Source organism: Homo sapiens, chromosome 16 (genome assembly GCF_000001405.40).
Source record: "Homo sapiens chromosome 16, GRCh38.p14 Primary Assembly".
NCBI classification, from domain to species: Eukaryota; Metazoa; Chordata; class Mammalia; order Primates; family Hominidae; genus Homo; species Homo sapiens.
The window spans coordinates 77,785,416-77,801,551 of record NC_000016.10 but is presented as its reverse complement, the minus strand read 5'-3'; the positions used below and the strand labels follow the sequence as shown (position 1 = coordinate 77,801,551).

Genomic DNA, 16,136 nt, shown 5'->3' with positions numbered 1-16,136 from the left:
TGTTCATTTGCTGAAGGGCAGCTATGTATTCTGGGAACAATAACAAACCTCATCCTAAGGGTAAAGTGAGTTGGAGAATACAGGCCTGGATGAAACCGTTTCAGATCAAACTATGAAGGGCTGCATTCTTAGTGTAGTTGTTTCTTATTGCGGAACGTTCTTTTCAGCTATTACTGAATGTTCTTTTTTTAGCTCGGGAATCTCCTGTGTAGGACAAAACAGTGAAAAGTATGGGCTTTGGAAAGAAACGTAATCCTGTTTTGAAGCCAAGGTCTCTGTAGCTTGCGTGAAGGTTAGCAAATTCCTTCACTTTCTTCATCATGCTTTTTCACGGGTAGGATGCTTGGTATCACAGGGATCACCATAGAACACTTAGCATAGAGCTTGTGGAACTTGGAAAGTACCCAAAAAAGGCTACTATGGGGCCAGGGGCGGTGGTTCACGCTTGTAACCCCAGCAATTTGGTAGGTCAAGGTGGGCAGATCAGCTGAGGTCAGGAGTTCGAGACCAGCCTGGCCAACATAGCAAAACCCCATCTCTACTAAAAATACAAAAATTAACCAGGTGTGGTGGCACATGCCTGTGATCCCAGCTACTCGGGAGGCTGAGGCAGGAGAATTGCTTGAACCTAGGAGGCGGAGTTCGCAGTGAACCGAGATCGCACCAGTGGGCTCCAGCCTGGGCAACAGAGTGAGACTCTGTCTCAAAAAAACAAGAACAAAAGGCTATTATGATAATAGTGAAATATAATTAATGTATCTTTCCTATTAACTCCAAACAGTGGGAGCATTAAATATACAAGGTAGCATGTGCTGCTTTGTAACCTGCACTGGGGGGAAAATGTGCCACAGCGCAGGCAGGGAGCCTGATTTTCTATCTGGAACAGGGAGAAAATGGGGACATATTCTGGGTGGCTTTAGTGTATGGCAGTGGGAAAAGAACAAGGCAATAGGAAAGGTTCAGGATCATTTGGGCAACCAGGAGAACTGTGTTTCTGAGTACCTGTGCAACACCTTCTAGGCAACCCTTGAAACTCTCTGTGGGTACTGAAGGGTGCAGTTTGGGGTGCCTGATACCTACGAAGGGTAGGGACAGAGTCGTGGAAATAGGGTTTATGATTTTAACATCCATGTTGGTCGGCCTTAGAGTCCCCAGGTATACCTGATAATCCCATGTATTGCAGGGATGCTTGAGTGATTGCTCATGAAATAACAGTCATTGGGCCTGCATGGCAGGTTCTCTCTAAGAGCTTTGGTCTGCGGCACTCGATGAAGCCAGATATCAACAAGGAGAAAATTACAGAGCATCGTGAGAACTCAGAGACCCACATTTCCCAGGCTAGGGAAAGTCATTATTCATTTCTTCTTCCAAGAGAATAGACTGTGTTAAGGAGAAGTAAAACTCCTGAAAATATAGTCCTATGAAAACATAGTTTGGTATTCTTCCAGGTTCTCACTCACAGATCTGCATGTGAGAGGCCTTAGGAGAGATTTAGCTTCTTGTAGGAGAAAGCTGAGATGAGGAAGGGAAGCTTGAGCCCCACTGACCAGGAATGGCCACTGTTTGTATTAGGAAGGTCATGTTTACTAGAAAGTCAGTAATATATTTACTCATTCTCCAGACTTATTGAGTGCCTACTGTGAACCAAGCACCATGCTTGGCATCATGTTAACTGATCACAGAGAAAATTCCTAGAACTTCCAAGATTACCAAAAATATCTACAAGATGATGGGCCTCAAAGTTGAAAATATGTGTTATTTAATGTGACTTAATAACTGTGGTAAGAAAGGTACAATCACAGGAGAGGGAATGGACCTGACTTCTCCAGTTCCCCTCCGATTCTTCACTTTTTACTGGATGAAGAAGAGTCTCGCATCCACTCATGATGGCTGCCATTTAAAATAGTCTCATGTGCTTCTTATCCCCCTCTTTCTGGTAATTGCTCTCCATTCCTTTTGGAGTATTTACCCTCTCCTTTTCCCCCAATACACACCACACACACACACACACACACACACACACACACACACACACACACACACACACCATGTATTCCAGTGGGGCTGTCAGACATGATGCTTACCTTCTTTTAGACCAAGGTAAGAGAGCATGAGGCACAGGTGTGGTCAATCACAGCTCCTCATTTTCTTAAGCCAGAGAGAGAAAGAGGAGAGAGAGGGAGGCAGTGGAGAGGAAAAGAGATGGAGAAAGTGGGAGGGAGAAAAGGGGAAAGACGGAGGGAAAAGAAGGGAAGGAGAGAGACAGAGAAAGAGGGAGAGAGAAGAAGGAGGGGAGGGGAGGGAGGGAGAGAGAGAGGGAGAGACAAGGAGAGGAGGAGGAGGACCGGGAGAGGAAGAGAGGGAGAGAGATCTCCAGGGGCTGGTATGTGATTTGCAAAGGACCAATCAAAGTCCTTCCTTAATACATAAAAACTGGGAGAAAAAAGTTCTCTTTGCACTGGGGCTCGCTAAATTTTCACACGGCAGCTGCAGCTAATGACCACCACCTTTTCCAGCCTCGGGAAGGAAGCTCATTGCAGCAGGAGTACATGAAGCTAACTTATGAGGAGAGAGGATGAAAGATGGAAGGGGAAGGAGAGGAGAAAGCCTAGAATCCCAGGGACAAACTCATCATGATGGCCAGCAGGGCTGAAATAACGAGAGAGGGGAGGGAGTAAGGGGGTGGCCTTCCCGCCCTCTGAAGATCTCTAAGCTTGGTCCAGTTTCTAGCACACAGTAGAAGCACAGTGTATTTTGGTTCCATTTCCTCGCTTGTCCCTTCAGGAATTCCTCTTGATCTTCTTGTATATGTCATGACACAGTGGCATATCCTGTTTGAGCTACTTTTGATGTCAGGGTTTTGTGGTCTTTGGCGGATACAGGTGGAGTCTGAATGAGGGACTCCATTCAGAAAACTTTATGAAGCACAGAGGGACTTTTTAATGTCCTATTTCTTTGTACCTCCTCCCCACCATTAATATCTATCAAACACATCTTCTATGGCACACACACTTCATTTATTCATTCATTCAACAAATATGAAATGTATCAACATCCTTGCTAGGCACTTTAGCTGCATTATCTTCTTCTTTCCCCACACAAAAACTTTTACCCCATCCATATTACAGATGAGCAAACTGAGGTTTCAAAAGACTTAATCATTTTTCCAAGGTTATACAGGTTGCTAAAATTGTTAGAGCTAGGATTTGAATTCAAGCTTGTTTTAGTTCACACATTAACTACTTTATAACCAAGAAGCCTACTGCCTCTCATCTGGCTTGGGTGTATGGCTAGTGCCAGGTTAAGAAAGGAATCATTGTCATCCCTGGCTCAGAAGATAATTATCCTGCATTAGGCTCTGGGGACCACAGTTATTTAGAGAAGTCAAGAGTGAGAGGACCCAATGCTTTGGCTTTGGGTTCTGTTTGGTGAAGCATTGTTTAGCATGTCCCTGGCTCCAGGAAAATTCTGGGGATGAGACCTCAGGGGTCAGTGACAGGAGACTGAGGACAGATGCTGACGGCATGCTCTCATCAGGAAAATATCATGTTCAAAGATAAAACAGCTTCTTTCACTGGAACATCTATTTTGTCTCCTGGGCCTTCAGACATAAAATTCACTCATTTTCATACCATGGCTCCAACCAATTTTCTGTATGAGATCACACACAGAGGAATCAAACTAATTTCAGATTACATGCTCGCCACCCTTTCCTGTGAAGAGTCTCTTCTTCCTTCTAATTACACTTTTTCTTCTGTGACAAATGCCAAGATGTCCAAAAGGCTCTCTCTTAGGAAAAGGAAGTCCCAGGAGCTTGGAGGTCATCGGGGCACTATTTCTTCATGCCTGGGTGAGCTCTGCTGTCAGTGTTGAGTGTCAGTGATGTGTCCAAAGCATGGGATTTGACTCCTTTGAATGAGAGTGCTCCAGAGACTGGATTGTCTATATACACCCAGCTAGCAAAGCTAGCTCCAGAGGCTGGATTGTCTATATACACCCAGCTAGCAAAGAAATCCCTGCAGCAACCCATGGGTGGGGATGCAGGGGGCTGGTGGGAGGGCAGCAATAGATCAGTCCAAATCCATTCCCAACCCTGGAAGTTGGGTGGCTTTGAAAGCTAGCATCCTAAAAAAAGAAAAATTGCTGGGCGCGGTGGCTCACGCCTGTAATCCCAGCACTTTGGGAGGCTGAGGCAGGCGGATCACCTGAGGTCAGGAGTTTGAGACCAGCCTGGCCAACATGGTGAAATCTGTCTCTGCTAAAAATACAAAAATTAGCCGGGTGTGGTGGTGCATGCCTGTAATCCCAGCTACTTAGGAGGCTGAGGCAGGAAAATCACTTGAACCTGGGAGGCGCAGGTTGCAGTGAGCCAAGATAGCGCCATTGCACTCCAGCCTGGGTGATAGAGCGAGACCCCATCTCAAAAAAAAAAAAAGATTTAAGGGTACAAGTGCAGTTTTGTTGAGTGGATATACTATGTAATGGTGAAATCCGGGCCTTTAGTGCACCCACTGCCCCAGTAGTGACCACTGTACCATTAGGCAATTTTCAACCCTCATCTTCCTCCCACCCTCACACCTTTTAGAGCCTCCAGTGTCTATTATTCTACTCAGTGTGTACCATGGCCATAGGTACCCACTTCTAAGTGAGAACGTCCCAGATTGGACTTTCTGTTTCTGAGTTATTTCCCTTTGGATTACAGCCTTCATCTCCATCTATGTTGCTGCAAAAGACATGATTTCATTCCATTTTGTAGAAAAGCCAGCATCCTACTCCGTGCTGGCAATGTAGTTTAGTGTGAGAACGCTAGGCAAGAAAACAAGAGATGGCAATTCATGTCCTAGTTCTGTATGTAAAAGCCCAAGTCATTTAGGAAGAAACAACCTTTATTGAGTGCCACCATGTGCAAGGCACCGTCAAGACTGCTACAGACACTTAGCTAGTCTTTGTAACAATAAGTAAAAGTGCATATCATTAACAAAGTGAGGAAGTAGATAAGTTGAAAGTGCTATTTGCTTAAGATCACACAGCCACAGTGAGGTAGAGTTAGGATCTGAACCCAAATTGGTTATAGCTTCTCACTATTTCCACTCCATCCCTGAGTCCCAGCTTCCTCTCCTAGAAAACATGGATGATAATTTCAGTGACACCTACCCCATGGGGTGGTGAAGATCAGATGAAAAGCTGAGGTACATAGTAGGCTTTGTCACTGCAAAGATGCTGCAGATGGATGGTAGGGTGGGTGCAATAATCAGTCCCCATTCCCTTTGCCCATCATCAGCTACCTGACATTGGTTTCTCACTGGTCCCTATATAGTTGAGATCTGGCTGCTGTTCATGGAAACCTAGTATATGTCGAATGTTCTATAAGGTTGTATCTCCATTTTGTAAGTAAAGCAAATAAGACTTAGAGAGCTAAGCAACTGGCCAGGTGTGGTGCCTCATGCCTGTAAATCCCAGCACTTTGGGAGGCCGAGGCGGGCAGATCACCTGAGGTCAGGAATTCGAGACCAGCCTGGCCAACATGGCGAAACCCTGTCTCTACTAAAAATATAAAAACTAGCTGGGCTTGGTGGCAGGCACCTGTAATCCCAGCTACTTGGGAGGCTGAGGCAGGAGAATCGCTTGAACTTGGTAGGTGGAGGTTGCAGTGAGCCGAAATTGCGCCACTGCACTCCAGCCTGGGCGACAGTGCAAAACTCTGTCTCAAATGAAAAAAAAAAAAAAAAAAAAAAAAAGAGAAAAAAGGGAGCTAAGCGACTTGCTGAAACACAAATGGTTAATAAAGGGCAAAGCAAAATTTTAATCCATGTCTGCCTGAAACCAGAGCCCCAGCACTTTCCAAAGGATAGGCAGCTTCCTCCCCGTCTGCGCTGATTCCCTACTAATGCTAGTTGACCAACTTGGTGGAATGAATGAATCTTTTCTGAATTGACCCATCCACCTTCATTCCTGCTCTTCCTTCAGGCTCTTCCTTTTGATCCCAGGTTATTTTTAATTCCATAGTTTCAACCCCCCAAAAGGTTTAATCCTGAGGAAATACCTACTACAAACAAGCCATCAGAAGTATGACAACAGTGTTGGTTTTTAGCAAATTAAAATGTTCTAAATGGCACATTTTAGCTATTTGTTATTAAGCTGTTAATAAGCTGTTAAGCTATTTGCCATTTACTTCGCTTTTATTTTCTGAAATTATTTCTACTTGGATGAATCCTATTTCATGTAAAATATTATTAAAACAAATCTTAATTTCTCAATCTTTCCCCCCGCCCCCACTGTAAATTCTACCAATTATTGCTTCCATTAGTGAGGTTATTCTTTGGTGGCTATTAATTTTTTAGCAGCAGAATGGAAAAATGGGAAGACAGAAGTATGTGAAGATACAGATTGAGGGAGAGGGGACACAAAATGGAGAGAAAAGACAAAGGCTTCTCTACTGATAGATCAAAGTATTCTCAGGGGGTAAGATGCTAAGTATAAACAGTGGGTTCAAATGATGGGGTCAAAACTTATTTCTTTGTTCTCATGAGATAGAAGAATCACTGATTCTAGGTTTCCTTTCCTCTTCAAATCGCCAGAAAAGCAAGAAGCCCATTTCATTATTGGATAAAGAGCGGATATTGTCACCATCCCCAGTCCTCATCAGCAAGGACTCAGTTGATGAGAGAATGCAAATTTCATTAAATAAAAATGACCCGAGCTAGCACTTCCATGTTCTTTCTCATCATCAAATGAGCCTTAAATATGACTCAGCATGGAGTCATCCTTTCCTCTCAAATCCTGATGCTTCCATCCAATACAGAGTGATTCAGAACACATTATTCCAATCTCCATGTCAGAGTGGCTCCTGGCTTGGCATTAGAAACCCTCTGAGCAACATCTTAGTTTTACAAACATCTTAACCTCATGGATGCCACTTGTTTATTTTGAATAAACACAGGGAATATCATGTTGGCCACCTTTCATTGCATCAACCTTACTGGTGACAGTTTAATGCTCTGTTGTTTGGGGATAACTTATACTTGGTTTGCCAATGTAGCAATGGCCTGATCAAGGTAAATGAGGCAGAGGGAGGAACTCCAATATCTTTAGTGGTTCAAGGAGTGGTGATTGTGATTGTGTTTAATCAGCATGGGTGTTCTGGGTCAACAGTCATAGTAACTCCATCTAGATGGATCCCCCAAAGCATCCCACATACTGTATCTCACAAGTGTAGATGAAATGGATGTGGTGCATAAACATAATGGCCGTTTTGGGGTGGGAGGCAGGATAGTACTGTGCAATTTTGAATCTTAGCAGTTGTATTTCAAATCAGTCAAATACATTCATGGCTCTTTCTCTGTATTCCTGTCTGTGTGCCCGTCTGCCTCTCTGTGTCTCTTGATCTCTCATGATTTGTGTGTGTGTCTCTCTGTCTCTTTCTCTTTTATGTCTTTGTCACTGTGTCTGTCTGATTCTCCAAAATGTAAAGAGCCATTTGGGTTTTAGGCACACTTGGGTGTTCACATGGCTCTTCCACTTAGCAGTCTGTGATCCTGATGTGTCTGTGAATATCAGTTTCCTCATCTTTAACTGGAGATGGCAATACTGATTTTGTTGAGTTGTCATTAGGATGAAATGAAACAAAGAGTGTATTGCAGCCAACTCAGTTCCTGGCTCATAACCACTGATCAATACATGTTTGTTCCTTCCCTATCTCCAATTTACTATACCCTCGTGACATATTAGAATTCCACCAATCTGGTAGCTTTCTTCTGATGTGGCCTGCCCTCAGCCCATTTTCAGATCAGCCAATGGAACCATGACTGGCTGGAACCATTTTTCATCCACTTGGTGTCTTTCCAGCAGTTTCATGTAGCCTCTTGGTGTAAATCATTCTGGGAAAATAAATGTCCCTAATCCATTAGTGCCCTTCTACTGCAAGCCAATTTGAACCACAAACCAGACAAGGTTTGTTAATGGCCACTTAAATACATTCCTGCAGCCCAACCTGGAGACCCTCTGCCAGCCTAAAATCCTAGCAGCCCCGGTCTAAGAGACACTCAACTGTGACAAGACTGATAGCAGCAAAGGCACAGTTCTGACTTGTATCAGTTAGGGGCGAACCATACACCTTGGTTTGCCTAAGACAGTTCCAGTTTATGATTGTAGCTTCTCCTATGTAGGAGTAATTATAAATAGTGCCCCTTCTGCTTTCAGAAGAGGTTCAGTTTGTTTGAAACCAGCCTGAGCAACATAGACTCTGTCTCGACAAAAAATAAATTAAAAAAAAATTAGCTGGGCACGGTGGCACATGCCTGTGGTCCCAGCTATGCAGGAAGTCAAGGCAGGAGGATCACTTGAGCCAGGGAGATCAAGGTGGCAGTGAACCATGATCACACCACTGCACTTCACCTTGCGTGACAGAGCAAGACCCTGTCTCAAAATATAAGAGTTCCAGTTTGAATAATAAACTATATAAGTATCTATGGCAACCAAAAGTAAAAGTTTACATAATAATGGTTACCATTTTTTGACTACTTGCTATGCCTGTCTCAAAATACAAGAGTTCCAGTTTGAATAATAAACTAAAGTTTATACGGCAACCAAAAGTAAAAGTTTAGATAATAATGGTTATCATTTTTTGACTGCTTGCTAAGCACCAGGCATCCTTATAAAGGTCTTTGTATATGGCATGTCATTTAAGCTTCATTACAATACTATGAAGGGGGATGCTATTATAAAATGGATGCTCTATTTTATAGTCCGGGAAACAGAAGTTTGTTAACATGTTTTTAACAACAACATGGCCAAGGCCAACCAGAAGGCGTGGTTTGTACCTCACCCAGATCCTGTCTATGGGCAGGTGCCCATCCCCAAACTGCTGGAAGTGTTGGATGCTCAAGCCTCAGAGTCATCCCTTTCCCTAGAGAATTTTGCTCAGTCAGATAGAAGCCACTTCTGCTTGAGAGGCTCAATGTCCCCACTTAGAAAGTAGCTCACAGCCAATGACACACAAGGCTCCCTCTGTTCCTTGCTTCAAGGTGAGACTGACTCTGCAGTGGGATCCAGCTAAGACCACATCTTTGCTTAACTCCTTCCTCTTCCCTAGCCTGCTTCCCTTGCTCCCATAGTTCTAAAAGCACACTTTCAATAAACCACCTGAAAAAGGATCCCTGCGTCAGGTTCTGCCTCCAAGGAGCCAGACCTAAGACATCCAGTTAGCAAGTATCAGAGCTGGGACTCATGTCTAGGAAGCTCTCTTAATCACTAAGCAGATGTGACATGATATTGCCTATATTATATACATGATTAAAATGATGGCCTCCAAGTTGTAGGTCACCAAGCAGCATATATCACATTGGTTTAGATATGGCAACAACGACAGTCACAATGAATCCTACTTATTGAATGCTGACAACGCGGCAGTGTCTTTCTTGCATCTGATCCTTTCAACAATACCATGAAGTTCATTTTATTATCCCCACTTTGCAGATAATGTATGGGAAGTTTGGAGACACTGAGACACATCCCCCAGGGGCATATGGATAGGAAGAGATGAGGCTTAAGCTTATATTCAAGTCCCTCTCTCTTCAAGGGCCACATGCTTTTTCCACCTGGTCACTTAAACCTCTTGTTGCGTAAAGTATTCCATGAATAATTGGTGAAATCCATCTGCCATCAAAACTGACATTTTAAAAAACAATTTAGACAGAAGACTCTGCTATCATTCCAACCCTGACCCCAGCAACAGTTCTTTTTGAGCTGCATTTGACCAAAATGTCTCTACTTTCTGGAGAAAGCCATACTACTTTGGAAATAGCTAGAGAATATTCTCTTAAGCCAGACACAAAAAGAGCAAAGGAACCATCTTCGGTGGAGAAAGGAAAGAAAGTGAGACTGCATGCTAAGAGGGGAATCACATGTGCTAAGGCTTTTCCACCAAGGGAGACAAAAATGGAATAAAAGGAAAATAGCAAAAATATAAGGAGAATTAGATTCAAATCCTAAGTCTACTATTTTTTGATGTTTTTGGCAAATTACTCAATGTTTCCAAGCCTCAATTTGCTCTTCTGTTCTGTAGGAAAAATACCCATCTCACTGGCGCATTAATGAAAAAGGGTCCATGATATAAAATGGATATTTCTTCCTGCCTCATCTCTTCCATTTTCATAAAATTCATAGCCAACTTGGAACGTCATTCCAGGTCTGTCTAATACTGGTTCAAATGGACTATGCTTTATTCCAAGCAAAAAGCATATCCTATTATGACAAAAAGGTTTCTATTAAAAATAGAGAGCAGATAAAAGGGAGACCATCATCCAGGAAGCCATCGGCTGATTCATAAAAATACAGAATGAGTCATCCTGTATCCCAAGGCTAAAACTTATAATCAATGATCATGTCTGGCCAGCCAATCCCAGCCCAGAGGAGAAGGAGCTGCCCAGTGGGCCATTTACAAGCCTATTACAATCCTTCCTTGTAAAACCATTAACTCTGCTTCCAGCTTGGTGAAAGGAAAATCAATCTGGGCTGTTTGCAACACTGTATTCCAAATGTACCTGCAGCCTGGTTGGCTTTCTGAACAACTAGGGTCGGGGAAGTGCAGTGATTTCTGTGTGTGTGTGTGTAGCGCCACTGAAGAACAGGCTTTCACATCTGGCTTTGAAAATCAATCTCTTGGCCTTCATCTTGACATTTATTATTTCAAAATGCTTCAGTTCCTATCAGCAATTATGCAGTTAACATAAGACTGGAAAACACAGAACTATGTGTACTGCAGATGATGCTCTTTCCTTTAAAAAGTAGTTTTATCATTTTCCCTCTCTGAATATGTACTCTAGAATCCTAGAATCCCATCCTCAATTTGGATGAAGGGTCATAAATTACATACGCATACATATGCAACTGTATATATAATTGTATATATGTATATGCACATATATGCATAGGTGTGTGTATACAGGTAATTTTTTTTGATGAAGTGGTTAAGGAAGGAGAGTTCTAAATGCATGGTTTTAATTGTACTAAGCAAAAGCTCTTCCACCAGCAAGTAAAGAAAAATAATGACCCAACAATCCTCCTCCGAGCTCTTTCCTCAATCCATTCATTCAGCGATAACTTATTTAGGATGTGCAGTGGGCCAAACAGTGTGGGGTGGGGGAGTGGGCTGGTCTTTGGGGATTTAGCTGCGAAAGGGCAGATATAAGCTCTCCTTCTGGGATCAAACAACTTGGTTCAATAAGAGTTTATTGTACAGGATCCCCCGGTTTGCAAAAGCCTCTTCCCTTACCCGGAATTCCCCACAGAGACTCACGAGTCGTGTTCAGAGTCAAACCTGACCAGCTGCATATATGAGCAGCAAGGCAGGGATCAGCGGCTGCTTCTCCCACTAGCTGCTTTCTAATCTGGCCGATGAAACCTGCGTCTGTTCTCAAGGTGGTGAACGGGAGGGGACCCTCGTTTGTATTTCTCGTGCCTCTAGAGAGGTCCAGATATTGGGTTTCTGATCTAACCTAGAAGCTCGTGAGCTGGCTGCTGCTTTGGAGAGCAGTATGTACTGGGGGGCTCTAGAAAACAGATGGGAAGGAATAGGCTCGTCTCACCGTGATTAATAGCAAGTTCCCCTTACAAGTTTAACATGCAAACCTAGTGTTGGGTCCAGTCCGCCTCTGCTGGGTAAGCTCTTCCCAGAACTTCAGGGAAATTACAGTGCCCGCACACAGAGAGGCTTAAACTCTCCCCGGGAATTTCAGCTGAGCGTGAGGGCCTGGAGAAGTTCCCCCAGGGGGAATGGGGAATAGAGGGCAGCTTAGAGAGCTGAGCTCCTTCTGAGATGGGACCAGGAATTCCGGGGAGACTGATCAGGGTTTTTTCCCCTCTCGGAGAAACAGAGGATGGAGAGGGGCATGGAGGGGGTTGCGCTGCAGCCCTGGTCTCCACCCTCACCAAGCCTGGGTGCAAGGTACCGACCCTCTTCCTTCCTAGTTCCTTTCCCCGTCAGGCTACGGGGAAGGAAGTGGGCAGGAGGCGGGATCCAGCCCTGCACCCTGTCCCAGGCCCTTCAGGACAACAGCATAGAGGTGAAAAAAGATCATGTATCAAATTCCCGGCCAAGCCACTTAGTGGCAGCTGACTGATCTTGGGCAAATCACTCATTCTCGCTGAGCGGCGGCTTTCTTACCTGTAAACGGATCATGATGGCACCTGACTCATTAGGTCCCAGGAAGTATTAAATAAGATCGCACGTGTAAAACTACCAACGGCGGCTGGCACACAGTGGGCTTGCGGTTCTTAATACATATATTTTTAATTCTGTTAAGCATCAACCCTCCCGTGCGAAAGCTGAGTTGTCCTCTCAGACGGAGAACTCCCGTAGCGCAATCTTCCAGACCCGGGGTGCCTGGGCGCCAGCATTCTCCCCGCGCCCAGGAGCTCACATTCTCCTCCCGTCACCCCTAGATCTGGCTTGGGGAGGCCGCCCCTCTGCATCCTCCCCAGCTTTGGCCCGGGGAGGCTCTGAGACCCGGGTGAGGGCGCGGAGGGGGTGCGCGCGGCGGTTCTACCCGGGCAGCATCCCAGCCGCAGCTTTCCCACCCCCTCCCCAGCGCCCAGCGCGCAAAAAGAGAGAAAGCGAGAAAGGCGCGGATACTGGACCAGGCTTTGACGCGGATCTTGAGCTCGCCGTCCTGAGGCTCGGGCATGGCCTTCCTGAAGAGCCGCAGCTTGTTGAGCCCCCCGAAGCCAGCCAGCACCACCGCGCGCATCTCCTGGGCGTCCCCGAGGCGGTGCGAGCCGTCGCCGCCGCCGCCCTCCGCCGGCTCCTTGCCTGCCTCCTTCTCGATCATTTGCTCCGTCTCCTCCGCCTTCTCCACGCCTTCCTTGGCCATGGCGCTCGAGGGCGCGGGGCGCACGGGCTGCGGTGGCTGCGGTGGCTGCGGCGCTGGGGGAGTGGGGCTCCTCTCCCGCGGGTTCCTCCTGTTGAATGTGGGATGCTCGGCTGTGCAATGGCTGCAGCCTCTGCGAGCGCCGCCGCGGTCCACAGCCTCCGCCGTAATCCTCACAAGAGCCGTGCCCTAAGCGCTTCACCCCCGCCCCACCCTTCTTTCCTGTCCCAACGAAGCCTCAACTCCAGTTCCTGAAATAGTCCCAAGTTAGGGTCGGGATCGCGGCCCTAAACCCAAATTTGCCGAAGATCTGTGACTAAAACGAGCCTAGAGAGACCACCCTGTCATCCCCCTTCCTGTGGGCCCAGTACTTGGTTATATACGGCACAGGCTCGGGTGCCTTGAAATGGACCGAGACTAATGTCTGGGCCTGGAGGATGCCTTACCGCGACAAGGTTGCCCTCTCTCCCTCCCATCTTCGAGGCTGGGCGGGATAGTCGGGAAATTGGGTCGTTTCTCAAACAGCCAGTTTTGGGTGGAAGGGCGGAGAGGTTTGGGAAGCAGGGAACTAGAGATCCCGCTCACTGCCCTGAAGAGTCCAGTGCAGGGTCTTTTCACTCCAGACCTGCAGGGTCAGCCGGGATGCTCTTTGCTGGGTATCACCAGGGGCTTCCTTACGACGGCGAATTCTCACCACCCACACCATTTCGGGCTATTAAAGAGGCTTCAGACAAGAATCCTGTACCAGAAAGGATCCTGTTCGTGTTCTGATCCCCGGAAGACCAGTGTGTACCCGCTCCCCAACATGCATGCACATACACAGAGTAGTAACTGGCGTTTTGTTTTGTTATCAGGCTCTTTGAGAAAAACAGCTCATAGAAAAACTTGGAATTTCTGAAATAAAATAATGGGGAAGGACGTGGTTTTCCTAGGGGCAGTTTAAGGAAAGAGATGCAGGTGAGGAAGTAGGTCTATATTCTATTATAGTTGCTATGCCATTGCCAGCCTTGAGATCTTGGGCAACTCATTCAACCTTCCTGAGCCTCAACACACTCATCTATAAATTGGGTACATTGATTTTTTTTTCTATATTGTGTGAAGTGCTGGGGTGGACATGATTTCAGTGAGACATGGTCCTTATATTGGAAAAGGTCAATTTCAGAGCATGAGGCATGAAGGACACAGTCAACAAATGTGGTACAATGAATGATGTAAGTGCTGCCTCTTCTCTCCCCTCATTCTTCCTGTGCCTCACTGCTTTAAATGCCCTTGTCTTCTATTCCTTAAAAAAAAAAAAAAAAAAAAAAAAGACGATTGCCATTTTCCCTCCTTCCACAGGGTTCTGCACCTGCTGTCCCCTTGGCCTGGGGTATGTGTTCCATCTCCTTTATCTGGTGTTAACTCCTACTTCGTTCTCACCTCAAGGGTCCATTCCTGTTGGGAGGCACTCCAACCTCCAGATTGGTGTCCTCCCTGACTATAGACACTTATGTCCCTTTGTAGCCAACTTTTATATGTTTACCTGATAATATCTGTTTCCTTTATCCAACTGTGAACTTCATGTGAGCAGGAGCTATTTCTACTTTTATCCAGCGTGGTTTTCCCAGGGCTTAATACATGATTGGTACATAGTAGAATATGCACAGAGGCAGCCTGTTGAAAAACTGGTCCAGAGAGTTGGAGAAGTTCTCATGGAGGAGGGAACATTTGGGCTAGACCTTGAAGGATAAGGCAGGTTCTTCTGGCAGAAAAGGTCGCAAGCTCATTCAAATAACACAGAAAGGTAACAGGTAAAAGGGCTTTTGAGATTCTGGTTTGTTCTATGTAGGCAGAACATTGGCTGTATTTAGCAATCATTGGAGATGAGGCTGAAAGGTTTATTGGGACCAGCTTTTGAAAGTTCTCACATACCAGGTTATAAAATTTAAGACATAATCACAGAGGCAATTGGTGCCATAAAGGCTTAAAAAACAAAAACATGGGGAGAGCATTACCAGAACTGCATTTTAGGATAATAACTTTGACAGTAAGTGGGTGATGGATTAGATGATAGAGTTACTGGAAGCATCGAGATCAGTTAGAGACTAAGTGCAGGCAAAAAAAAAAAAAAATCCCCAAAAAGAAACAAAATAAATGAGAATGGTCCCAACTGAGGCAATGGCCATGGGATGGAAGGAAGAGGGCTAAAAGAAGCCTGAATAGGGCTTGGTTAGTGAATTGAACATTTTATTGTGAATCCAATTGTCCAAATTGTTTGTCTTGTTTACATTGTGAGATACAGTGTTTAGGCTGGATTCTGTCCTGAAACAAGAATTTGAACACCCGTCGTTTATTTTGGAAGTAATCCCAGGAAGCTCTGGCTGGGAAGTAGGAAAGTGAGACAGAAAATTGATACTACCCAATATGAGATGTATTAATAAGCAGATTACCGCAGTGGACAATTGGAGCTCAAACCCGCAGGGGACATTTGAGAGACAGTGTAGAACAAGTCTCAGAGTTGTCTCACCCAAGGAGTGAGGACATAGGTATTTATTCACTAAAGTCTATGCTTGATTGGTCAAGAACTGTTCCTGGAATTGTTAACTCCTTGACATTTCCATCCTGTCCCATGTACTTGGGCTGAGAGAATCCCCAGGCAGAGAATTGTGGATGCTCTTTGCAGGAAGCTATCATTTTATACATGGAATGATGAATTCCATGGAGACATAGCTTTGGCACCAATAATATCTGCAATATATGTTATTGTTTTGGAGGTGTCTACTGTTCTAGACACTGTAGGTATATTTCTTAATTTGATTCTGAAAATAATCTCATGAGTAAGAATTCCTATTCCCACTTTATGGAAGAGGAAAATGAAAATGAATCTTAACATGATGAATTATTGTGCTCAAAGGAACATGCTAGTTATAATGAGATAGAAGACCAACTCCAAATCTGTGCTCTTAAGATCTCATCATGCATGTTTATACGGACAGGCCAAACCAGTTCTGCCCCTGATTGACAATACTCCATGGCATTTTTTAATGTTCCCTGCTCTTTTTTTTCACCGCCTACTATCTCTGTACCACCAAGGTCCCTTGCCTTGGTTCTGAGTGTTTGTTTTCCTTTGGCATTAGTAAAGTAAACCCACTTTGTAGTCAGCACACAGCATGTTAAAGAGAAAGTGTTTGTCTTACAGTGTGTTAAAGGGAATATAATTACTCCCTCCAAGGGAATCTTCTGGCTGTTTACAAACCCCAGATTATAATTGGTAGGCAGCTGATTATCACA

The 16,136-nt window shown here is 45.0% G+C and overlaps 1 protein-coding gene and 1 long non-coding RNA gene across 5 annotated transcripts in view; one reads left to right on the top strand and one right to left on the bottom strand.

Annotated features, from left to right (window-relative positions):
* VAT1L (vesicle amine transport 1 like) overlaps positions 1 to 12,988 on the bottom strand; it is a 191,544-nt gene extending 178,556 nt beyond the window's left edge. The window contains exon 1 of the mRNA NM_020927.3: positions 12,637 to 12,988. Within this exon, the coding sequence (NP_065978.1) occupies positions 12,637 to 12,869 (233 nt within the window). The 5' untranslated portion in view covers positions 12,870 to 12,988. The remainder of the gene's footprint in view (positions 1 to 12,636) is intronic.
* The window catches only part of LOC107984878 (uncharacterized), a 77,518-nt gene that overhangs the window by 18,836 nt on the left and 42,546 nt on the right, over positions 1 to 16,136 (top strand). The window lies entirely within an intron of this gene.